The sequence below is a fragment of the Homo sapiens genome, chromosome 14, assembly GCF_000001405.40.
Source record: "Homo sapiens chromosome 14, GRCh38.p14 Primary Assembly".
Lineage (NCBI taxonomy): Eukaryota > Metazoa > Chordata > Mammalia > Primates > Hominidae > Homo > Homo sapiens.
The window spans coordinates 52,861,700-52,885,920 of record NC_000014.9 but is presented as its reverse complement, the minus strand read 5'-3'; the positions used below and the strand labels follow the sequence as shown (position 1 = coordinate 52,885,920).

Genomic DNA, 24,221 nt, shown 5'->3' with positions numbered 1-24,221 from the left:
CTGTTAGCCATTTACTTTATAGTTCTAGGTTTACTCTTGCTTGGGAAAATTTTCTCCAAAAATATAAAAATAATACCATAAAAATTCTTTTGATAAAATATGGTATAAGATAGGTATTTTGGTGAAAATTTTTTAAAATGTATTACTTTAGTACTCTTTTTAAAAAATATACAATTTATAATAAGTTAGGTAAATTTTACTGTGTTAAAATATAGCAATATTTAGGAGTTGTTTGATTATATCGGGTTTTAAATATCTACAGTAGGTGGACTCAGACTGTAGTGCTTTTTGAACTCTATTTCTCCCCCTTAGAGTTTTTAAGTTATCTTTCCATGTCATTTAGTAAGCTCATATTTTGTTGCTAAATCTGCTACTTTATCTTACACTTTACTAGTTTGCTGCCTCAGATGCATTTTAAACCAGACATTCAAGAAAACAACTTAGTTGGGATTGTCTCTGAACCACGATGAAGGAATTTAAAATACCCATACCCTCTGACCCAGCAGTGCTGCTAGAATTGGGAAATAACTACAAAAATGTTTGTTGAAGCATTGGTTTGCAATAATGACATTAGTAACAGATTTTTTTTTTTTTTTTTTTTTTTTTTTGAGACTAAGTCTCGCCCTGTTACCCAGGCTGGAGTGTAGTGGTGTGATCTTGGCTCACTGCAACCTCTGCCTTCTGGGTTCAAGCGATTCTCCTGCCTCAGCCTCCTGAGTAGCTGGAACTACAGGAGCATGCCACCATGCCTGGCTAATTTTTGTATTTTTAGTAGAGACGGGGTTTCACCATGTTGGCTAGGCTGGTCTCAAACTCCTAACCTCAGGTGATCCACCCGCCTTGGCCTCTCAAAGTGCGGGCATTACAGGCATGAGCCACCGCACCTGGCCAGAATTTTATTTTTTTATTTTTATTTTTCGAAACACAGTCTCATTCTGTCACCCAGGCTGGACTGCAGTGGCACAATCTCTGCTCACTGCAACCTCCACCTCCTCGGTTCAAGCGATTCTCCTGTCTCAGCCTCCCAAGTAGCTGGGACTATAGGCGTGCACCACCACACCCAGCTTATTTTTTATATTTTTAGTGGAGACAGAGTTTCACCATGTTGGCCAGGCTGGTCTTGAACTCCTGACCTCAGGTGATCTGCCTGCCTCGGCCTCCCAAAGTGCTGGGATTACAGGCATGAGCCACCTTACAGTAACAGAATTTTAAAAAATAGGTGCACACCAATTGGGAATGGCTTACGTAAGTTATAGTACATGGAGGCAGTGTGTAGCCCTACAGCCAGACTGGCTGGGGTTTTTTTGTTTGTTGTTTTTGAGACGGAGTTTCGCTCTTGTCACCCAGGCTGGAGTGCAATGGTGCAGTCTCTCACTGCAAACTCCGCCTCCCGGGTTCAAGTGATTCTCCTGCCTCAGCCTCCCAAGTAGCTGGGATTACAGGCAGGCTGCCACCATGCCTGGCTAATTTTTTGTATTTTTAGTAGAGGCGGGGTTTCACCATGTTGGCCAGGCTGGTCTCGAACTCCTGACCTCAGGCAGTCTGCCCACCTTGGCTTCCCAAAGTGCTGGGATTACAGGCTTGAGCCACCGCGCCTGCCCAGACTGGCCGATTTATAGCTTGGCTGCAGCTTACTTGCTCTTGACCTTGGACAAGTTATTTAACCTTGCTTTGCCTCAGTTTGCTCCTCTGAAGTGAGAATAATAGAGTTGTTGTGAACGCTAAGTGAGTTTATTATCACATAGTGCCTACAGAACAAATAAGAACAACGAAGTGATTAAGTATGAATTGAAGAAGATACAAACTATAGGAAGTTGAAACGCAGATTTGGGTGGGTGGCTGATTCTATTAAATGTGTGATTGTATTTGTTCATTCTTGAATTGCTATAAGGAAATACCTGAGACTTGGTAACTTAGGAGAAAAGAGGTTTAATTGGCTCACAGTTCTGCAGGCTGTCCAGGAAGCATGGTGGCATCAGCTCCTGGGGAGGCCTCAGGAAACTTACAATTACAGCGGAAGGCGGAGGAGGAGCCAGCACTTCACGTGGCTGGAACAGGAGGTAGGGGTGGGAGTGGGGAGGTGCCACACACTTTAAACAACCAGATCTCATGAGAAGTCACTGACTATACAGTACCAAGCGGGGATGGTGCAAAACCATTATGAGAACTCCACCCCTGTGATTCAGTCACCTCCCACCAGGCCCCTCCTCCAACATTGGGGATTACAATTAGACATGCGATTTGGGCAGGGACACTGATCCAAACCATATCAGTGATTTAGGGGGAGTATCTTTTCTATATTAGAAACTTTATAAAGCAAATTGTCCATTCTAACTTGACTCAGTTTTGGATAGAAATTATAATCTCACCAGGTGCACATTTTCAGTATACTGACATTCTTCGTAACAGATTTATTTAATAGATCTTTGAAAGAAACAAGACTTTGCCTAGAAGTTAATGTTTTTTCACACTTTATCTACATGCACACTCTGTAGCAGAAATACCCTTTGCCCAACTGAGTTGGAGTAATGTGTTCAGCACATTTAATAAGTGTGGGGTGCCCAATTAGTCCTTTCAAAAGGTGTCACACAATTTTAAGTTTGAAAAATACCTGTCTAGTTTAAGGATCTAGCTTTTAAAGCCCCAGGACTAACGATCCCAGTATTCTTTAAATGCTGATAAAGAGTTCACAACTTTGCTTTGTGTTTTAGGATTAACAGTGTTCGGATTTTAGAGGGTTTTTTGTTTGTTTGTTTGTTTGTTTGTTTGAGATAGAGTCTTGCTTTGTTGCCTAGACTGGAGTGCATTGATGCAATCTTGGCTCACTGCAGCCTTCGCCTCCCGAATAGCGTGCACCACCACTCCTGGCAAATTTTTGTGTTTTTAGTAGAGACAGGGTTTCTCCATGTTGGCCAGGCTGATCTCGAATTCCTGACCTCAAGTGATTCAACCGCCTCAGCCTCCCAAAGTGCTGAGATTACAGGAGTGAGCCACCACACCTGGCCTAGATTTTACAGGTTTTTTTTAGTACTAACATTGGAAGAACACATGTCAGGGACATAAAATCAAATATCCTGTGTCCAGCAAGAGATTACATATTTTCAGTAAAAACTTTTTTTTTTTAACTTTGCTTCCTAGACTAGGTCATGACAGCTACAAAAATCTCTAGCATTAGCACCACTTTTTCACAGGCAGTGTTTCTATCATTGCATGGGGAGAAGAGTTAAAAATAGTAGGAAAGGAGATGGATTTCTAAGCTTAACCCTAAATTTAGGGAATGGAAAAGCCATTTTCTTTACATTAACAGTGTTATGCCCATTGCACATTTTCTTTTGAAAAATTATGACAACAGGACAAAATATAATTTAACAGAGCTAGGACTTGGGGGAGCTGCTTGTCCTTAATGTCATTCTGAACATTTTTAGATGCCTTAAATTCATCTCCTTAATTTTTGTAGTTTAAATAAAGGAGCACATACCATCTGTTGACTAATGTAACAAATTGTTATTTACGTAACCTCTACTATATGTCTAGCCCTAATACTAAGAAATCAGAAGATAAATAAGGCAATATCCCTTCCTTTTGAGATTTGACTATTAAATATATCTCTGTTTAGACTCTTTCTAGGGCAGACTTTTATCTCCCCTTTTACATTAATACTTTATTTGTTGTACCCCAGAACTTAAAAATTAAAAAAAACTTTATTTGTAAAATTGTTGAAACCTGTTTATTCACTGAGAAGACTTTACTATAAAATTATTCTTAATCTATATGAATTCAGTTCTATTGTGTTACCTTCAAATTGTATGGATTTCAAATGGTGGTAAAAGTTGTAGACATATTTGTCACTATATACTTGACTACAGCACAACTTCATTCTTTTAAATTGAACAAAAAAAACCGTTTTACTTAGGTTGTAGCTTCTAAGGTTCTTTACTCTGAAATCCACTTGAAATGTGTACTTCAGTTTATGATTCACAATTAGGGAAAATCTGTTTTTTCTTTTTCTCATTTTCTTTTCATTCTTTTGTTTCTGTCCTCTGTTGTGGCCTTTCCTTTACCTTCTGAATTCCTTTCTTTCCTTTCCTATAGGCACTGATGTTCTTTACATTGGCCCTCTGAAAGGTGAGCCTTGCCACAATTTAAAGACAAAAAGTGTTGGTCTGTCTGCTTCAGCTATATCCTTATTTTCTAATTCTCTTGAACTGATTTTTTTTCCCCAGAATTTCTGCCAACTTAATTATATTCTTAAGGCTTTATTACGTGTTTTAATGTTATACAAGGAGAATTAATTACACATGTTTTCATAACAGGTAAAATAATATACTAAGCTTTCCTTTCAGAATAAAACTTTTGTTTCACAATGTGCTTTATATCATAATATGTGTTATTATTGAAAAATAAGATGCTGTACTGCATACTTACTACCTGTTTTTCATGTTACTTATTAGGAAGTATATATTCAAGCCCAGGACTGTATAGTAAAACAATGACCCCCACTTATGATGCTCATGATGGAAGCCCCTTGTCACCAACTTCTGCTTGGTTTGGTGACAGTGCTTTGTCAGAAGGCAATCCTGGTATACTTGCTGTCAGTCAACCAATCACGTCACCAGAAATCTTGGCAAAAATGTTCAAGCCTCAAGCTCTTCTTGATAAAGCAAAAATCAACCAAGGGTAAGTTTTAAGATATAGATAAAATTGAATTTCTTCATCCAGCTAGAGGTAGAAATATTGTCTTCATTCTGTGTTGTTTTGTTCCACTGTTCTTAATTTGTCCAGATGGCTTGATTCCTCAAGATCTCTCATGGAACAAGATGTGAAGGAAAATGAGGCCTTGCTGCTCCGATTCAAGTATTACAGCTTTTTTGATTTGAATCCAAAGGTACCGAGGGTTTAAAGGGATCTTTTTTTTTTCCCCATTAATTTGTTTTGTTCACATGGATGTTTGTTTTTGGAAGTCGGTGGAATAAGGAATTATTTGTATATAGGAAATCTTGAATAATTATTAAAAACCCAAACTTTTAGGCAAAGGTATTTGTATTTTAAATAAGTCTATTTTAGTAGGTTGGAAGCATAACTAAACCTTTTTATTGTTGTTATTAAGATAATGAAACTTTTGGCTGATTTGGTTTTATCTTTTTTTTAATCTCTAAGCTCTTAGAGTGTCATGATTTGTATTTTAAAGGTACTCTTTTGGTACTATAGAACTGGCAAAGTTTAGGCCGGGTGCAGTGGCTCAACGCCTGTAATCTCAGCACTTTGAGAACCCAAGGTGGGCGGATCACATGGTCAGGAATTCAAGACCAGCCTGGCCAACATGGTGAAACCCCGTCTCTACTAAAAATACAAAAACTAGCCACGCATGGTGGCACACGCTGGTAATGCCAGCTACTTGGAAGGCTGAGGCAGGAGAATCACTTGAACCTGGAAGACGGAGCTTGCAGTGAGCCGAGATCATGCCACTGCATTCCGGCCTGGGCAACAGGGCAAGACTCCATCTCAAACAAACAAAAAAAAGAATTGGCAAAGTTCATTTTTAAAATATAAGACCTCTCTTCAACTATATTTAAATAAAAGTTTCAAAAAGGTTACCTTTTCAATTACTTTTAGATTACTAATTACGTGCCAAAAGATGTTGCTTCAAAAAAACGTTTTTTTCTTGAGACAGGGTCTCACTCTGTCCTCCAGGCTGGAATGCAGTGGTATGATCATGGCTCACTGTAACCTCAAAGTCCTGGACTCAAGCCATTCTCCCACGTCGCCTCCCAAGTAGCTGGGACTACAGGCTCACCCAGCCACACCTGGCTTTCTTATTTTCTGTAGAGACAGAGTCTCACTATTTCACCCAAGCTGGTCTCAAAACTCCTGGGCTGAAGCCATCCTCCTGCCTCAGCCTCCCAAAGTGCTGGGATTACCGGCCTGAGCCACCATGCTCAGCCAAATTTTTCTTAGGTCTACATTTTTTTCCTCTGTAACAGACAAACACTGTTACTTGTCTTTACTATGATTGGTATTATCTCTGCTACCATAGTACTTCACTTTTCTGGTAAGATTTAACTTTACCATAAATATCTGGAGCTTTTTTCCCCCGTAGAAAACACTTGGCACAGAGGTTTGAATCTTTTACTTCTCTTTCAGCCTGGGGAAAGAAACCTCTCTTGGCTACCCTCTCATCCTTTTCATGTTTAGAGTATAGTCTAGATTTTAATGTTATGTTTACATTCTTTTATTATATGCTTAAGTAATTCTTTATACAACAGTAAAATCTCTATAATAAAATTATAGAAAATAATTTTAATTCATTTTCAGGCCACATCATACCTACTTTTAGTAAAGCCAAAGCTACTTTGGGAATAGTTACATTTGTGAGGGGAATGGAGATGTATTTTGTCAACGTTCTAAAATACATGTTGAGCATTCCTAATTTGAAAATGTAGAATGCTCCAAAAGCTAAGACTTTTGAGGGCTGACATGATGCTGAAAGGATATGCTCATTTTGGATTTTTATGTTAGGGACACTCAACTGGTATAATGGAATATTCCATCATCTATAAAAATTCTAAATTCAACACAGAAGGTCTCAAGCATTCTGGATAAGGGATACTCAATCTGCAGTATTCTTAAGGCATTACTATTGACTTTTATTTATATAATTAAATGGATAATTGAATAACATATAAGTAAACATTTTCCACAAGTATATTTGCCCTGTATTTTGCATACTTAAAATAACTGCCGTTTCCAAGGACTTGCCACTTTATCTGGGTATGCTTCTCCACAGTGAACAAAATGTTCCCCAGAATAATTTGCTTTCTGATTACATGTTTGTATGGCAAGTTGCAGTAATAACACTGAAAAATAATCGGTAGTTCCGCCTTACTTTAATGTCATCAAATTAGATTTCTTATGTTAAAGGCTATAATGTCTAGTGGTTATTTCCCTGAAAAATAACATACAGAATCTACTTTTTAATACTGTACAATCAATTATTCTCTGTCATATTTTAATGTCATTTTTAATGGAAAATTAGATGTGGGCATATATAGGCATGTCTGACCCCATAGGTATCCTTCTAATAATACTTGATTGTAAATAAAAATTCTTGCTTGTAAATTAAGATCCCAGGAAAAAAAGCATTAAATTTTTCTTGTCAATTGAATATTCAGAGTTTGAAATTTTTCAATGGTAAAGGTTATATATTACAAAAGAACTATTTCTCTTGTTGCAGTATGATGCAATCAGAATCAATCAGCTTTACGAGCAGGCCAAATGGGCCATTCTCCTGGAAGAGATTGAATGCACAGAAGAAGAAATGATGATGTTTGCAGCCCTGCAGGTAGTTGAAAGGTCTAGTAAATGGGACTTATTCCGGTAAAGGGTAGGGAGGTATTTTTAAACAGTAAAGTGGAATAGTAATTCCAGTAACATTTCACGAGACAGAATTTTTGCCATGAAGAAAGTGAGTAGACACTTAGGAAAGCAAAACAAATACATTTTAGTTTGATTTTTTATCTTTTCCAAGAGTTCAGTGGTATACTTAAGTACTTTTCTCTATTTTGTAGGAAAAAAATTATCCTATTTTGTAGGAAAAAAATTATCCTCTCACCCCCAAATATAAATCTGCTCAAAGCTCCTCAGTTTTTCCTTGGAAAGAAAATATTTATTAAAAATCAGATTTCTGAAATCTAATCTGAAGCTTACCTGTATAATTTCATAAATAGCCAGGGATGATACAACACACTATAAAATGGGCTGTAGCAAAGCGATGCTTTTAGGTGATAAGATTTAGAGAGACTAGTGGAACCAAACCTTTTTCTACAATGATAATCCTTAAGTAGATAGCTAACATTGTCCTTAGATTAAACCAGTTTTTTCATATGTGGTTCTTACATACCACCTCCTTCAGAATTATAGGGGAGCTTATTTAAAAATTAATTATCCACTTCATGAATAACTTTAAGGTGGCATCCACACATCCACATTCTTACAGATACTGAGGTCTGATGACCAAATTAATTCATCTTTCTTAAATTTCAGATACCCGAGTAATGCTTTGGCAAGTATTCCCAGTTATGACGGGATTCTAGGTTCAGCCTAAAGTCCTGATGAAGTTGGTGTTCTATAAATAACAGAAGTACAGGAAGCAGAGTTGACATTCAGTTGAAGAACTTTTCACTGTAGAAGGGATTTTGTTTTTCCTTAGAACACAAACAAAAATGCTCTCAGTCTTCCAAATGCCTCCTTTATGCATCCAGAAAAGTTTTCAGTTGTGACCCAAAAAGTTGACATTAGAAAGCAAGAATGGGGAGTGAGGTTAGCAAAAAAAAAAAAAAAAAAAAAAAAGCAAGAACAGCTAATTTTCACCTTAGTTTTACATAATGAAAGGAGTGGCAAAGAAGCATAGACAAGGAAAATAAATCCCAGGTGACAGATGGATTAATCAGTTATTTTCTAGGAACTTGATTAATGAGCCAGTTAGGATCCCGTATTGTGTTTCCAGATAATTCTGACTCTCTGGTGAATTTCTTGAATTAAATTCTGGAGCAGTTTGTTGGGAGTCCCCTCACGTGGTTATGGCTTTCTTCCTGCATCCTCCTCACTTTGATACAGGCTTATGATTTTCTAGTGGAGGTTTTGCCAATGATAGAATAATAATACCTGTAAAATATGTGTGAAAGACCACAGATTTTATACTGTTGCTTTATTTTTGTATTAAAAAATAGTACATGTTTATGGTTATTGTTTTTAAAACCAACAGATGCCTATTATATGCCTGGCACATAGTAGGTGCTCAAAACGTGTTTGTAAAATGAGAGTACACACAGTTGTGTTCTCACAGGAATGGCATGATTCTGCAGCCCACCTCCCCGAGTGTATCTTGGGCATTCCATATCACTACAGAAGGAACACCTCAGAGACCACAGGTTTTAATTCATGGAAATGGAATGGTCTCAAACCATAGCCCTCCAAGACCATTTTAGAATCTAGATATAATGAGAGTATTTTGACATACAGATTTGAGTTGTTGGAGGCTTTCTCAGAGACTGACCCTAAGGTTGTAGGAAGCCAACTAGTACCAGAATAAGGAAACTGTGAAAGTATGGTGAGGAGGAGATGCCTAGAATTTTTTCTTTCAGAGAGAACCTATACTCCGAAGTATACTCTCCTTGGGACATCTGGATCCTTGTGTAAAGTAAATTTACAATAGTAAAAAGAAGCAGAATAATACAAAACAAGAAGGTGGGGATAAAAAGTAAAGTAGATGAATTAGTAACATTGTTTTTAAAGCATTTAAGTCAGAGTATGTATTAAGAAATTTAAGATATCCCTTGCACTTTTGAAAGCAAAGCTGGATTTTTTAAGTCCCATTCACAGCCAGGATTTCTCCGGTATGACTCATAAAGACATTTTGCATCAGAATTACCCAGAGCAGTGAGTAAAAATGCAGATTCCAGGCTGGACCCCAGACTTCCTGAATCAGGATCTCTGGAGTAAACCTAAGGATCTGTATTTTTGACCAATTCTTCACCAGACTCTTAATATACTCTGACATTTGGGACCTGAGGGCCTCAACCTCTACCTCATTTCCCATAATTTATGAACATTGACATTTCTACAATTGTAAGATCTCATTTCAGCACAATTGAAGTAGTCAGAGACTATTCATTACCAATCAATCACTAAATCTTAAAACACAGAACATTGGTAAGTGGCCTCAGATTAGTTCACTAAATGTTCCCATGAAATGAATGTATTAAATGAATACTTTAGACATTTGGAGTGCCACTTGTTGCTTTGAAAGGTAATTGATTAAGATTTAAAGGTTCTGCTGACCTTTGTAGAAAACCTAAGGCTTAACATAATATTTGTTCTAAGTCACTTACTGAAGTATATTTAAAATCAGTAACTATTCTGTATCCAAAAATTTTCCTGTCTACATATGAGTAGTCATCACTACTCACTACTCTCTCTCTGCCCCCACCCCACCCACGTATATGTGGGTGTCCATGTGCGTACTCACGTACAAACATTCTTAGATATGAGAATACAGAACATGAAGCAAGGATGGGGAAAAAGTGGAGTTTTAGCTTTCGACATAATAATGATGACTTTCTCCTGGGTAATAGGAGCAGTGTACAGCATTCAGTGTTCATCAGTTTCTACAAAAGACCTTATGCATATTCTGTATGTTCATTCAATATTTCTTGATAACAGGCCCTGTTATAGACACAGGGCAGATTACAATGAAAAAAAAAAAAGTCAAAAATCTCTGTTAATGTGAAGTACAGTTGAGGACCAGTTAACTCTCTTAAGTCTTAGAGCCCGCAAATGATGAATTCATTGGTATGTGTCCAAAGACCCTACTTCTTTTGGATAAGTATTTATTAGCAGGTTTAGGATATTGATTTCAGGTATTTATTTCCTATCGTTCTAGTTCCTAGACGCTTCTGTCTTTTCAAATTAGGTCCTGAAAAGCATTAAATATAGATTCAGATAGTAATTTCATTTTAGAGTTTTACAGTTATAGCAATTATTTTAATAAAATAATTCTGGTTTCAGTATCATATCAATAAGCTGTCAATCATGACATCAGAGAATCATTTGAACAACAGTGACAAAGAAGTTGATGAAGTTGATGCTGCCCTTTCAGACCTGGAGATTACTCTGGAAGGGGGTAAAACGTCAACAATTTTGGTAGGGTGAATCTTTTTTTTTACCTACTAATTTAGCTTGAATTGATGCATTCCATTTTGTGGATTTAGGTTCAAAGTATTTGGGGGTGGTGGAGAGAAATATTTAATGCTTTAGAGAGAGAAATCAGATGTTAATTTTTCAGGAACTTTGAGCAAAGTGGTTTATTTTGAGACAGGGTCTCGTTCTGTTGCCCAGGCTGGAGTGCAGTGGCACACGTCATAGGTCACTGCATTCTCAAACTCCAGGGCTCAAGCCATTTCCTACCTCAGCCTCCTGAGTAGCTGAGACTACAACCATGCACCACCACACCTGGCTAATTTTTTATTTTTTTAAGAGATGGGGTCTCACTGTGTTGTCTAGTCTGATCTCAAACTCCTGGCCTTAAGCAGTGCTCCCGCCACCACTGGGAAGTTTGTTTTTAAAGTAATAATGTATTAGTCTCTAGTGCATTCAATACAGTAAGAATAGATCTAATACTCTAATACTCTGCAAATTCTTTTACAAGTGGTGGGAAGACATTTCTGCAGAGGAAAATAATCTCAAGTCATGGTAAAAATCCACTTAGTGATGTGCACATTTGAAATACTACAAAAAGAAGAAAATAGATCTCGGGAAAATTGTGAAACACTGGGTTTGGTTTTTAAGTATAGGGATTAGTTACTGCTGAAGAAACACTTCAGGCCTTTTACAATGTACAGATTTATATGCACCTACAAACAGTTTCAGCACTATTAAAGATAGCATATTCTCATGGGTTGTATAAATTGCCATTTTGATGAAAATTTTGTTAACCTTTTATGCTATTTGAAAATGCCTTTGTACCAAGAAGAATATGGTCCACAAGACTATGTAATGTGATTTTGTTGTTTAAATCTTTATCATTGTATTTTATGTCATTCTGTTTATTAAGTAAGCTAGTTCTTGATATCAGATACCAAACATTAGAAAGAATTTCAAATATTAAAAAAATTAAAAAAGGATTTAACTCTCTCCTAGGGTGACATTACTTCCATTCCTGAACTTGCTGACTACATTAAAGTTTTCAAGTAAGTACAAAAAGGAGGGATGCCAAATATTAATAACTGTCAGCTTTATAGTCATGGTCACATTATTGAAACTAACTGTTAAGTTTGACTAACAAACGCATCTACTGTAAAAGGATTTACCAGTTAGGTGAACACCAAATTACCACGAGAGAAAATAACCACTTTTACAAAATTAAAATCACAATGCTCATTCTTTTATCAGATTTTTCTTTAAAAAAAAAAAAAAAAGATTGTGAAACCTAGATTGCATCATACAGATGCTGAAACATAGTAATACAGTGGCACAGCCCCTCCGGGCCTCAGTTGGAAGCAGTACATAATGAACTGTGTCACTGCCAGCGATTATTTCCTCGTTCAGAGCGCAAGATTCTATTGAACTCTGTTCATTTGTTCATGGAACATTTTATGTAAAGTTCTAGTATATCTGATCAAGATTTTTAACACTCTATCCAGCTATATTCCACAGAATCAAGAGAGCTCGGCATTAAGGCAGAGAGGAGAAAAAGGAAAAGGAGGTGATGTGGAAAGTACTATTTTCTACTATATAAGATACAAAACTACTCTAGAATAAACCATTTACCATAGCTGAACATACAGCAGTTCAAAATATGGAACTTCTGAGATAAGGGCATGATTTCAGATCCACTACCCTACCCTTTCTCCTTCCCCCTTGACCCACCTTTCTCATCTACCTGCACCTTTCCTTACACATCCTCATGACTGCTCTGTCATCTTCCTTCTGTGTTTGATATTGGAGTGGCAAGTTAATGTCACCATTGGAATTTACCCCGGAGAAAGAAGCACATCCCCCACTTTCAGTCCTGCCAGGTAAATTTGCATCTTTATAGAGGCTCCAAGGCAATCCTGCAGACACCCATAAACCTGCAGGTAATTACAGGATCTAGGAATTTTCCAATTACTGACATTTACTTCACCTTTCTTTTCCTACCCTTCCCATGTGACCTGCTAGTTAGTGATAGATGTGATGGCTACAGCTGCAGAATACTGGAACACAGGCCCTACTGCCTTTCTCCTCGGAACGCTGTTTGTGGGATCTTCTAGAGTAGATTGAGAAGGGAGGCTCGCATCCAGTAACAGTAGCACTGACTAATAAGACGCTGACCAAGGGGGATCAATTTCAGCACGTGTAAAACTTGACCCCAGACTTAAATTAATATTGTGAAACTTTGCTAATACAGCGTTAATAAAGTTACTTCCAAGTGATTTTGTTGTTAATTCTCTTTGATACATAGGCCAAAAAAGCTGACTCTGAAAGGTTACAAACAATATTGGTGCACCTTCAAAGACACATCCATTTCTTGTTATAAGAGCAAAGAAGAATCCAGTGGCACACCAGCTCATCAGATGAACCTCAGGGGTAAGGAGAGCCTGGCACGGCTGTTGTTGATGGTGGCATCCCCATTGGCCTAATAGTCAATGAGCCACTTGCTGGGATAAACAAGTTTTTTAAAAAAATCAATTTCTTTACTCCTTTGGGTACTTGAAAAATGTTTAGATATGTCTCTTTTACATAGTCCTTTTCACAGGTTTGAAGTATTCAATTCCACATAAATATTTTGTTGTAATCTCTTTGTGCAGACTTGACCTGAAATGTATGATTCAACTTTTCTTTTTTGTTTTTTGAGAGGGAGTCTTGCTCTGTCACCCAGGCTGGAGTGCAGTGGTGCAATCTTGGCTCACTGTTACTTCTGCCTCCCGGGTTCAAGCGATTTTCTTGCCTCAGTCTCCCCACTAGCTGGGATTACAGGTGTGCACCACCACACCCAGCTGCAAGGTTTCGTCATGTTGGCCAGACTGGTCTCGAACTCCGGGCCTCAATTGATCTGCCCACCTTAGCCTCCCAAAGTGCTGAGATTACAGGCGTGAGCCACCACACCAAGCTGATTCTGCATTTCTAACTTGTCAAGTAAGCTTACGTTGTCTTTTGATCTTCAGCATTAAGGACATTTAGAGTTTCCTTATTCTGCAGGGGCTGCCTCCTTGTCTGTTTTGGATTCTGCCTTATTTTAAGCCACGCTGTAGTCATCCCTGGGCTTTCTTCTTCGACATCCTGCTCTTCCTCACCCTCACTGATGACAGGCTGGTCCCACTCAGGGTCCTCAGCCTCTGAATTTTCCTGGCTCGCCAGTAGAGTAGCTGACACTTTCAGGGTTTGGGCAAGTCCTTCCCCTTCCCCTTCCCCAACACCTCTTCCTCACACAGTTTTGTCTTTGCTCTCATCCTGGCTTTTGAGGCCGCTTCAGGATATTCCTCGGAGGCTTCTAGCTGACACCTTGAGTCTCACTGGTTTTCTCTTGTCCTGTCTTTTCAAATCCAAAGCTATCTCAGAACTAGGGTCTGGTATTTGGGTTGCTCATTTCCTTTCCCTCAGGGCGTTTGTGGCAGGCCTGCTTCCTACAGCCTGGGCTAAGCCTGGATGAAGCCTCAGCTATTGGCTTTGTTTTGGATTTTGTTTTTCCTTTTCTTCAGTAAGGTCTATGACCTACAGCTTAATTTTCTATTTCAGTGATTTCTTCTATTGGTTCTTCATACTGCTCTTTCACCTTTTTCATCTGATGATGCCCTGGCTCAGCTGGTAGGCGAATTTCCTCTCCAGATTAGTCTGGTTCTTCTGCAGGTAGATGGCATTCTGCTGCTCACTGTGATTTCTTTGCAGAGCGTTAATGAGCCTCTCACTTGGGGTAATACTTTTCAATAAAATCACCTGGTTCACTTTCAGTGTAGATACCACTTCTCCAGAAAGCTGTATCCCCTGAGGACCACTCTCCCGTGAGCACACACCCTTGGCACATGGCATGCCTTTTGGATGATGCAGTCAATCAGCTGGCTCTGCACTGTCTGTTCCACAGTCCTCTCACTGTATCTTCCCTTAGAAGAGCAAAGACTAAAAAACTAAAATACACTTTCTAGACTCATTTCCAATGAGACTTAGATTCCAGTCAGGTGCATTCATGGGAGACTTAAATTCGGAATAGAGCTAAGGGGTTAGAGACACAGAAAATGAAAGGAGGGAGGTATTACTAGGCGCTGGAGCTAACACCTGCAGCCATAGTCTCCTGGTTTCCCACCTGCTTGATTATAGCAAAGGTTGCGCCACCCTTGGCAAGCCAGTTCTGAGTTACTCCTAGTGGCCCAGCCCATCTCTTCTTTGGGTACATTTGTACGTACACATATTTTTGTAGATAAGGCCTTTCTAACTCGAAGTATTCCGATGTGGACAACAGCACCAGGGAAAAGGGCTCCAGACTGATTTCACAAAAATGACTCCCAAAACAATTTCATTTAACACTTAAAACACAGAGGTGCTTTTCCTGATTCATATTCCTAAATTGTACTTAGTACAGTCATGTATCATTTAACAGTAGGGATACATTATGAGAAATGTGTCACCAGGTGATTTTGTCATTGTGTGAACATTATGGAGTGTGTGTACTTACACAAACCATGATGGTATAGCTGACTGCACACCTAGGCTATATGGTATAGCCGATTGCTCCTAGGTTACAAACCTGTACAGCATTTTACTGTACTGAATACTGTAGACAACTGTAACACAATAGTAAGTATTTGTTATCTAAACATATCTAAATCTAGAAAAGGTACAACTTGGCTGGGCGCGGTGGCTCATGCCTATAATCCCAGCACTTTGGGAGGCTGAGGCGGCGGATCATCTGAGGTCGGAAGTTGGAGACCAGCCTGACCAACATGGAGAAACCCCGTCTCTACTAAAAATACAAAATTAGCTGGGCATGGTGGCATATGCCTGTAATCCCAGCTACTCAGGAGGCTGAGGCAGGAGAATTGCTTGAACCTGGGAGGTGGAGCTTGCGGTGAGCTGAGATCACGCCATTGCACTCCAGCTTGGGCAACAAGAACGAAACTCCGTCTCCAAAAAAAAAAAAAAAAAGTACACTTGTATAGAGCAGTTTCCATGAATGGGGCTTGCAGGACTGGGAGTTGCTCTGGGTGTGAATGGGTGGTGAGTGAATATGAAGGCCTAGGACATTACTATATGCTACTATAGACTTTATTCAATAATTTTCTTTCTTCAAACCTTTGCTTACTGTAACTTTATAACTACTTTTAACATCTTGACCCTTTTCTAATGACACGTAGCTTAAACATTGTACAGCTATACAAAAATATTTTCTTTATATCCTTATTCTATATGTTTTTTTGTATTTAGATTTTTATTTTTTATTTTTAACCTTTTGTTAGCTTAAATCACAGGCACACACATTAGCCTAGGCCTCCACGAGATTGGGATCATCAATATCACTGTCCTTCACCTCTGCATCCTGTCTCACTGGAAGGTCTTCAGGGGGAGTAACAAGCATGGAGCTGTCATTTCCTCTGGTAACAATGCCTTCTTCTGGAATACCCCTGAAGACCTGTCTGAGGCTGTTTTACAGTTAACTTTTTTATTTAAGTAGAAGTACTTTGTAAAATAATGATGAAAAGAATAGTATAGTAAATACATAAACCAGTAACATAGTCATTTATCATTATCAGGTATTATGTACTACTTATAATTGTACATGCTACATCTTTCTATTACTGGCAGCAGAATAGGTTTGTTTACACAGATGTGAGCTATGATACAGCTACAGTGTCACTAGGCAGTATTTTTCAGTTCCATTATAGTCTTATGAGGGCATTGTCGCTGTCGTATATGCAGTTCGTTGTTTACCGAAATGCTGTTATGCAATGCGTGACTGTATATTGTACATTAGGATAGATTTACCGTATTTCAACACAGTGTTGAAATCTGTACCCTAGTACATGAGCTCTGCCTAGTAGTCACTTAAACTATTGCTTTTAAAGTTACACAAATTTTTAAAAAATAGAAAAACTCAGTCCTGGGTAAACAATTGCTATTCCCACATTTTGGAATTCTGTAATTTACCTGAAACTCTTAATTAGGGTCACTACCTTCCTCTCTCAGTCACGGGCGTTTCACTTTTGGGTCTCTGTCATTCTTTGTTGCTCTCAGGATCTGTTGCAACCTTCTCCTGCTTCCCTCTTCAGCTGCCCAGGACCAGCGTAAATGATCCACTGTTGACTTTGAGACTAAATCTGTCTTCTGGCCCCTGTTCTCACTGTCCCTGTTATATCTTAACCTTCTTCCTGTATAACTAAGAGGTCAGGTCCTGGCATGGAATTAATAAGTTTATAAGCTGTTCTCAGTTTTCATCCCACTGCTCCCAAGTCCTCTCAAAGGACTCATCACACTGATCATTGCACTCATCACAGGCACCGCACTGATAACACCTTGACCAAGAATCAAATGGTCTGGATGCTGCTCTTCTACTAAACAAGCCCTATGATTTTTGTTGTTTCGTTTTTTGAGACTATGTTGTACACGCTTATCTCCAACTCTTGGGGTCAAGCGATCCTTCCACCTCTGCCTCCCGAGTAGCTGACACTGCAGGTGCACACCACTACACCTGGTTTAGATCTGTGATTTTGGAAAGATAGCACATCTGGGCCTATAGTATCTTCTTCTGAGAAATGAGAGTGTTAGACTGGATGCCAAGGCTTCATAGAGATCTAAAATGCAAAGTTATTAAAAATTCATTTCAGCTAATACTAAGTGAACTCCTGTGCCACAAACTGTGCTGGGTACTAGAGATACAAGGAAGAACCACTTACAGTCTCAATCCTCAGGATGGTTTAGAGCATGTTGGCGAGATAAAATTACAATTGGGGTAATAAATAGTACTTTGGAAAGGAAAGGAAAAGAGCAAGGGGTAAGGGTGTTCTATAACTTAATCTTCAGTGAGGATGGAGAGACTTCATCGGGGATGGAGAGCCAAGCACAGTGGCACATGCCTGTAATCCCAGCTACTCAGGAGGCTGAGGTGGGAGCATTACTTGAGCCCAGGAGTTCAAGACCAACCTGGGCAACATAGCCAGACCCCATCTCAAAAAAAAAAAAAATGCCTAGAGAGTTTTGTGCTGCTGGAAAATAGAATTTAAGGGGAAGGATGAATACTTCTTAATAGCTATTGAATCTGATTCCTGCTAACATGAGAGGTAGTCGCAGAAGAAACTGGCAGACATTAGATGATAAAAATGGTAAGGAGATTGCTTTTTGAACTGGCAGCAGTGACGTGTCACTGAAAGAACATTAACACAAAAATGACAAGATCCATATTTATACCAGTTATGGTGCAGAGGAGTCATTTTAGAGAGATGATAGTAATCCAAATTAAGGTAATCAACATGGGATGAGAAAAGGGGCAGATTGAATAGATACTGAGGAAGTTTGGTCAATAGTCTGGGTGACTTATTTGGGAGGAGGTTGAAGTGGGGTCATTTTTCTGATTTGTGCAATTGGGTGGATAGTGTGATACTGAGATAAGAATGTAGAAGATGAGAAGAATGTAGAAAAAGGAGCTGGGTTTGGGGGGAAAGATGAGTTTAATTTGGGGATATTTTGAATTTGAGGTGCCTGTGGGATGTCTATTTGGAGCTAGCCTGTAGACATTGGATTAGGGGAGAGATGCACATGCTACAGATACTGATAGGGTAACAGTTAGCAGTAATGGTAAGTGCAGCCATTGCAATGGTTGTCTGTAATGTGAGAAGACAAGATGAAGAATAGAACCCTGCAGATCACCCATGTTTAAGAGACAGGGCAGGTTAGAAGAAGGGGACCTTGCAAAGGAAACAAAAAAAAAATGCATAGGAAGACTATGGCAGTGAAGTATGATGAAAGCTAAGATAAAAGTTGTTTCAAAAGGACAGAGTAGTCAACAATGTCCAGTACTGTAGTAAAGTAAGGTAGTTAGGCCAACATAGTATCTAGCCATGTAGTTCATGACCTTGATAAGAACAAGTTAAGTAGACTTCAGTGGTTTATTGAGTATGGAGCCAAAGTACAGTCACTGAGAAGTAAATAAGAAACAAAAATGGCTGGGCACGGTGGTTCATGCTTATAATCCCAACATTTTGGGAGACCAAGGCAGGTGGTGGATTGCTTGAGCCCAGGAGTTTGAGAACAGCCTGGGCAACATGGTGAAACCCTGTCTCTATTTAAAAAAAAAAAAAAAAAGGAGGCAAAGCTTTTTAATGAACTTTATCTATGACAAGGAAGGGGGAAAGAGGTAACAGAAAAGGGAGGTAGGTTGTGGTGTAAGATGGGAGAGACTCAAGGAAATTAAATGCTGGTGGAAATGTGGCAGTAGAAAGAAGGAAATGTAGTGTCTGAGAGGGAGGATCTCAGTGGTGGAGCAGGGTTGCTCGGATGGTAATGAACTCAGCCCACTTGGATAGGAAAGCTGGAGGATGAGGGATGCCTCTTGCACTGCGTGGAAGCAAGGACAGCTAAGTTTATCTTGTACGGTGGCAGGAAATGGATGGACTTAACTTCTGGTGGCTTTCATTTTCTTGGAGACATAAGAGGTGGAGTTGTCCCTTGAGACCAAGTGACATTGTAGGATGTCTGAGAAGATTTGAAATAGGCATTGTTGAAAATGTCTGTATAAGCACAGAAGGATGCAAGCATAAAGGGCCCAGCTGAGGTTGGTATCCATGAATCTGTAGTGAAACCTTTTTTTCTTGCTTCTTCCCATCTTGCAGTGCTAAGCAGCCTGAGTATAGGCAAGGAAAAGTTAGAGGGATTTATTTACCTAGGGTGCAGATTTTGCTAGGAGAATGTATAATGTGAAGACAGTGAGTCTCGGCAGTTGGAGTTGATGTCCAGTGAATGTGGTCCAGGCTGGTTGGGAAGGAGGGAGCTGTTGCTTCCTTCTGTTGCTGTTGGGGAGAAAGTGGAGGGGTTGCAGCATAGGGTTCCTCAAAGAGTTAGGATTAGAGATTGTGACCAGAATTGGCTGTTTGCATTTCATCTTTCAGATGTACACTAATTGGGTAACTGAGGAAGTCCAGTGGTTGCCGTGGAAGTAGGTAGCTGAGGTGGCATGGAATGGGTGTTTGAGATGTGGCCCCTGTAGGCCTCTGAGCCTACACTAGTGCCTGAGTTACCACCCACTTTGTCTCTCCCTGTTTAGTTTTCTTGTTTTTTTAAAAGAGGCCTAATTATTATGGAATTGTGTACTGTAAATCCTCTTGAATTATTAATGATATTTGTGCAAAAGATTGTGTACTTTCAAACAACTGTTTCAACTTTGCACATTAAACAGTTCGTCACACATGTTCTCATCATTCTAAAGCCTGTATAAAAGGAGATATAAAAGAAGAAATTCATATGTAGTAAATATTTTAAAAAGAAAACAAAGGGCAGGGGGGAATCTACAAAATTCATGGTAGGAGTTGCTTCTGGGGAGGAGAATAAAGAGGGCCTCTCCTTTATCTAAAGTGTTCTTTTTATTTAATACTAAAATATTTATGTAGACAGGGAAAATGACAATTTTAACATTTGTTCTTCTGAATATGGAGTGTGTATGATCTTATATTCTGTGCCAAGAGGAATTGAAAAAGCAAGCCCTACTAACAATTTAAAATTTTCTTCGTAGAGCCTACTGCATGATCATATGACATTGTGCTTTGTTCATGTCATTCTTGGACAATTGGAATAAGCTTTAGGAAGCTTTGACAGTGTATTATCTTATTTATCCTTAAATCATCCCTGTGAGGTAGAGTCCAAGGTCAGGAAATGTCGACTTACAGAAGTTAAATGGCCCATAATTATTATTAATAAGTGACAAAGAAAGGTCTGCAACCCAAGTCTCTCTGACTGCAGAGCTCTACTTCACTGTATTTATTATACTGTTACTACTTGTTTATGCCAGCTGTTATGCCATTATCTAACACCTAGTTCAGTAAATCTGCACTCCCTTCTGTAAAGCCTCCTACAAAGTGAAATTCTGAAGAGAGAGTTTCGCTTTTGTTGCCCAGGCTGGAGTGCAACGGTGCGATCTCAGCTCACTGCAACCTCCACCTCACAGGTTCAAGTGATTCTCCTGCCTCAGCCTCCCAAGTAGCTGAGATTACAGGTGTCCACCACCACCCCCGGCTAATTTTTTGTATTTAGTAGAGACATGGTTTCACCATGTTGGTCAGCTGGTCTCAAACTCATGACCTCAGGTGATCCGCCCGCCTCGGCCTCCCAAAGTGCTGAGATTACAGGCGTGAGCTACCACACCTGGCCTGAATACAGTTGTTTTCATTCCAGCTTCCCAAGTATATGTGTATGTTACCTTCTGCAGCAGATGCCTTCATAAAATACTATGGCAAAATCCAACATGTTAAGATGCCACAGAATGAGGGCTGCTTGTATTGACTTGAGATTTCTTAAAAGTAAATTTAGCCATTTTAATAAAAATTTTTTGTTACAGGATGTGAAGTTACCCCAGATGTAAACATTTCAGGCCAAAAATTTAACATTAAACTCCTGATTCCAGTTGCAGAAGGCATGAATGAAATCTGGCTTCGTTGTGACAATGTAAGTTTTCCAGTTAAAAATACACTTCAATTTTCTTAAATGAGTTGACCAGTCATCCTTATATTTTATACTTGAAAGACCCACCTCGTGATACATTGCACACATCAGTATTTCTTTTCTCCAGGAAAAACAGTATGCACACTGGATGGCAGCCTGCAGATTAGCCTCCAAAGGCAAGACCATGGCGGACAGTTCTTACAACTTAGAAGTTCAGAATATTCTTTCCTTTCTGAAGATGCAGCATTTAAACCCAGATCCTCAGTTAATACCAGAGCAGATCACGACTGATATAACTCCTGAATGTTTGGTGTCTCCCCGCTATCTAAAAAAGTATAAGAACAAGCAGGTACTTACTTCATTTTACTTCATCTACTGTGCTGGTTTGTTTTTATAATTTTGTACATAACTTTGTTTTTCCCCTCTTAAACAAAACTTTTTAGTCTTAATTTTGTATCAGATGGTTAGAATATAAAATACAGTTAGAGTATCCCTAATCTGAACCTCTGAAATCCTCCAAAATCTGAAACTTTTTGAGTGCCAACATGACTCTCAAATGCTCATTGGCACATTTTGGATTTCAGATTTGGGATCCTCAACTGGTAAGTATAATGCAGATATTCCAAAATCCAAAAAAATCTGAAACCCAAAATACTTCTGGTCCCAAGAATTTTGGATAATGGATACTCAATCTGTAGAAAATAAAGTAACCTTTAGTCAGTTTAAATTGGTCATTAAAAAAAAAAATCTTTATCATTTTAATAGAACAGATAAGGACACAGAATAGTTGAGAACTTACTCTAAACAAATTGCAGAAATCATTCTGTTAACATGGTGTTCTTTCAGACATTTTAGGGAATTGAATATGGTCTCAATGCTTTGTGTTCCTTAATTTATTTAATTTTATTCCATATATAATTAAGTAAATGTGACATAAAGTGCAGCCAGCATTTCTCAACAAAATCTGTAATACCTGCTCTTGTTGAAATTGGCTTTTCCAGCTTTAGAAAGAAACTTTACAAGAGTACATTTTTAGCCGTGTCTTTTCTTAACATTTTCAGTCAGAACCTAACCACAATTTTACACATAGTTACACAGTTTGGTAAATTTTCATTGAAATTTGCTTTTGTTCACTCTGTTTAGAATTCTTTTCTTTGGAAATTAATACCATAAAAGGGCTGCTACTTAGGAAAATGGTTCTTTGGTACAACATAAAAAGTCCTTTACAGGGGAATTTCACTTGGTATAGGCCCTGGTATTCTCTGCCCCCAACATCATGCCATAAAAGGAAAAGGCTTTAGTTTGGGGGTGGGGAGACGAAGACCTTTAAAATAAACATTTTGTTTTTATCTAATTTTGCTTTAATCTTTGTTAAGGAATAATTTTAAAACATACTAAAAAGGCTCAATGAAATGCCCAGAACACTTACTAATTCCTTAACTTTAAGTATAATATTTATTATATGGGTCTAAAATTATTTCTACCTAAATGTTCAGAATTTTAATGACAGAATATTTGTCTTTAAGTCTCAGAGGTTGTGTAAGCCTAGAAATTGTTTATCCCGTGGTCATATGATGTGGGAGTAGTAAGGAATGGAGGAAATGCTGCCCTGGGGAACTGTATGGAATGTAGATTGTAAGTTAAAAAGAGAAAGTAAAGCAAGTGCTAATTTCATTTTTCATTCGTAGTTTTTTAAAATTATTTATACAGAATCTTGTTTCTAAAAGTGAACTTATTTGCCTTCAAAGGCAATAAGTAATTTCAAACCTGACCAATTTTATCATTTCACAGTAAGGTATCAGGGAGATAAAAGAGCTTAAACGAGAGCTGCCACACATTGTTTTCACTGTCAACTATTTGTTTTCTCAGAAGCCTTTTAAATGATAGTTCTTGACTAGAAACTATCAACTGAAGATTTATCTTTAACTGACAGGAGGACAGTTTGTGTGTGGTCCGTGGTTAAAGATCCTTCTGGCCTTGCCTTTCATGTTGCCATCTAATCAAATGCACATTTTTAACCCTCCTTTCTCTCACTAGAGCTATAGGTTAGATTTTTTGGTGTGTATTTTGTTCTCTTTGAGGCAGAGTCTCTCTGTCTCCCAGGCTGGAGTGCAGTGGCACCATCATAGCTCAAGCGCACTGCAGCCTCCATCTCCCAGGCTCAAGCAATCCTCCCACCTCAGCCTCCCTAGTAACTAGAACCACAGGCACGCACTGCCACTCCAGGCTAATTTTTGTATTTTTTGTAGAGATGGGGTCTCGCTATGTTGCTTAGACTGGTCTCAAACTCTTGAGCTCAAGTGATCTGCCTGCCTTGGCCTCCCGAAGCACTGGGATTACAGGTGTGAGCCACCACACTCTGCTGGAATAGACTTACAAATTGTTGGCCAGGCACAGTGGCTCACGCCTGTAATCCCAGCACTTTGAGAGGCCGAGGCGGGTGGATCACTTGAGGTCAGGAGTTTGAGACCAGCCTGGCCAACATGGTGAAACCCCATCTCTACTAAAAATACAAAAATTAGCCAGGCATGGTGGTGCACGCCTATAATGCCAGCTACTTGGGAGGCTGAGGCAGGAGAATCACCTGTACCCGGGAGGTGGAGGTTGCAGTGAGCCAAGATGGCGCCATTGCACTCCAGCCTGGGTGACAAGAGTGAAATTCTGTCTCAGAAAAAAAAATTGTTTCCAGAGAATAGCGACCATGATGTTATTGCCCTGGTGCCTAGTAAGTAGTGACATTCAGAAGTTTAGTTGCTACTGTGTGTCAGATACCACACTAGTCACACTGGACATAGTGCTCAGTAATTATTAAGCTGTATCCAGTTGCGTTCTGGAGGCTGTAGGAAGATGTGCAGGCCACAAGGACATTCTTCCCTACCTGGGCATAGACTCGTAGTTTTCTTTTGGGTCTATCAAAATAACCTGTTGTATTTAACCTACTTTAATTCCCTTCAATTATATATATATTAACTAAACATGCTGTGGGTATTTTTAAATAAATATGACTCTCAAACTGGATTTTTAAATTTTGAAGAATTATTCTATATGTT

The 24,221-nt window shown here is 38.9% G+C and overlaps 1 protein-coding gene and 1 long non-coding RNA gene across 9 annotated transcripts in view, besides 3 other annotated features; one reads left to right on the top strand and one right to left on the bottom strand.

The window, feature by feature from the left end:
- The window catches only part of LOC105370500 (uncharacterized), a 138,447-nt gene that overhangs the window by 44,314 nt on the left and 69,912 nt on the right, over window positions 1–24,221 (bottom strand). The window lies entirely within an intron of this gene.
- FERMT2 (FERM domain containing kindlin 2) overlaps window positions 1–24,221 on the top strand; it is a 93,778-nt gene that overhangs the window by 65,130 nt on the left and 4,427 nt on the right. For 4 of the 7 annotated variants that reach the window (NM_006832.3, NM_001134999.2, XM_006720010.4 and 1 more), the window contains exons 5-12: window positions 4,452–4,677; window positions 4,783–4,885; window positions 7,232–7,339; window positions 10,564–10,698; window positions 11,695–11,744; window positions 12,998–13,122; window positions 21,068–21,174; window positions 21,299–21,520. In NM_006832.3, coding sequence (NP_006823.1) covers window positions 4,452–4,677; window positions 4,783–4,885; window positions 7,232–7,339; window positions 10,564–10,698; window positions 11,695–11,744; window positions 12,998–13,122; window positions 21,068–21,174; window positions 21,299–21,520 — 1,076 coding nt within the window. Of the gene's footprint in view, window positions 1–4,092; window positions 4,126–4,451; window positions 4,678–4,782; window positions 4,886–7,231; window positions 7,340–10,563; window positions 10,699–11,694; window positions 11,745–12,997; window positions 13,123–21,067; window positions 21,175–21,298; window positions 21,521–24,221 lie in introns of all 7 variants that reach the window. The other 3 variants (XM_005267285.4, XM_006720009.4, XM_006720008.4) reach the window with 1 other exon arrangement.
- Window positions 971–1,496: an enhancer, noted in NCBI's record as "H3K27ac-H3K4me1 hESC enhancer chr14:53351143-53351668 (GRCh37/hg19 assembly coordinates)". NCBI's record gives its function as "activates a minimal SCP1, AML or CMV promoter by ChIP-STARR-seq in primed H9 embryonic stem cells {active_cell/tissue: H9 hESC(primed)}" and the evidence as "EXISTENCE:reporter gene assay evidence [ECO:0000049][PMID:30033119]".
- Window positions 1,497–2,022: an enhancer, noted in NCBI's record as "H3K27ac-H3K4me1 hESC enhancer chr14:53350617-53351142 (GRCh37/hg19 assembly coordinates)". NCBI's record gives its function as "activates a minimal SCP1, AML or CMV promoter by ChIP-STARR-seq in primed H9 embryonic stem cells {active_cell/tissue: H9 hESC(primed)}" and the evidence as "EXISTENCE:reporter gene assay evidence [ECO:0000049][PMID:30033119]".
- Window positions 12,456–12,750: a silencer, noted in NCBI's record as "tiled region #8176; K562 Repressive non-DNase unmatched - State 24:Quies". NCBI's record gives its function as "represses a minimal TATA promoter and a strong SV40 promoter by Sharpr-MPRA in K562 cells {active_cell/tissue: K562}" and the evidence as "EXISTENCE:reporter gene assay evidence [ECO:0000049][PMID:27701403]".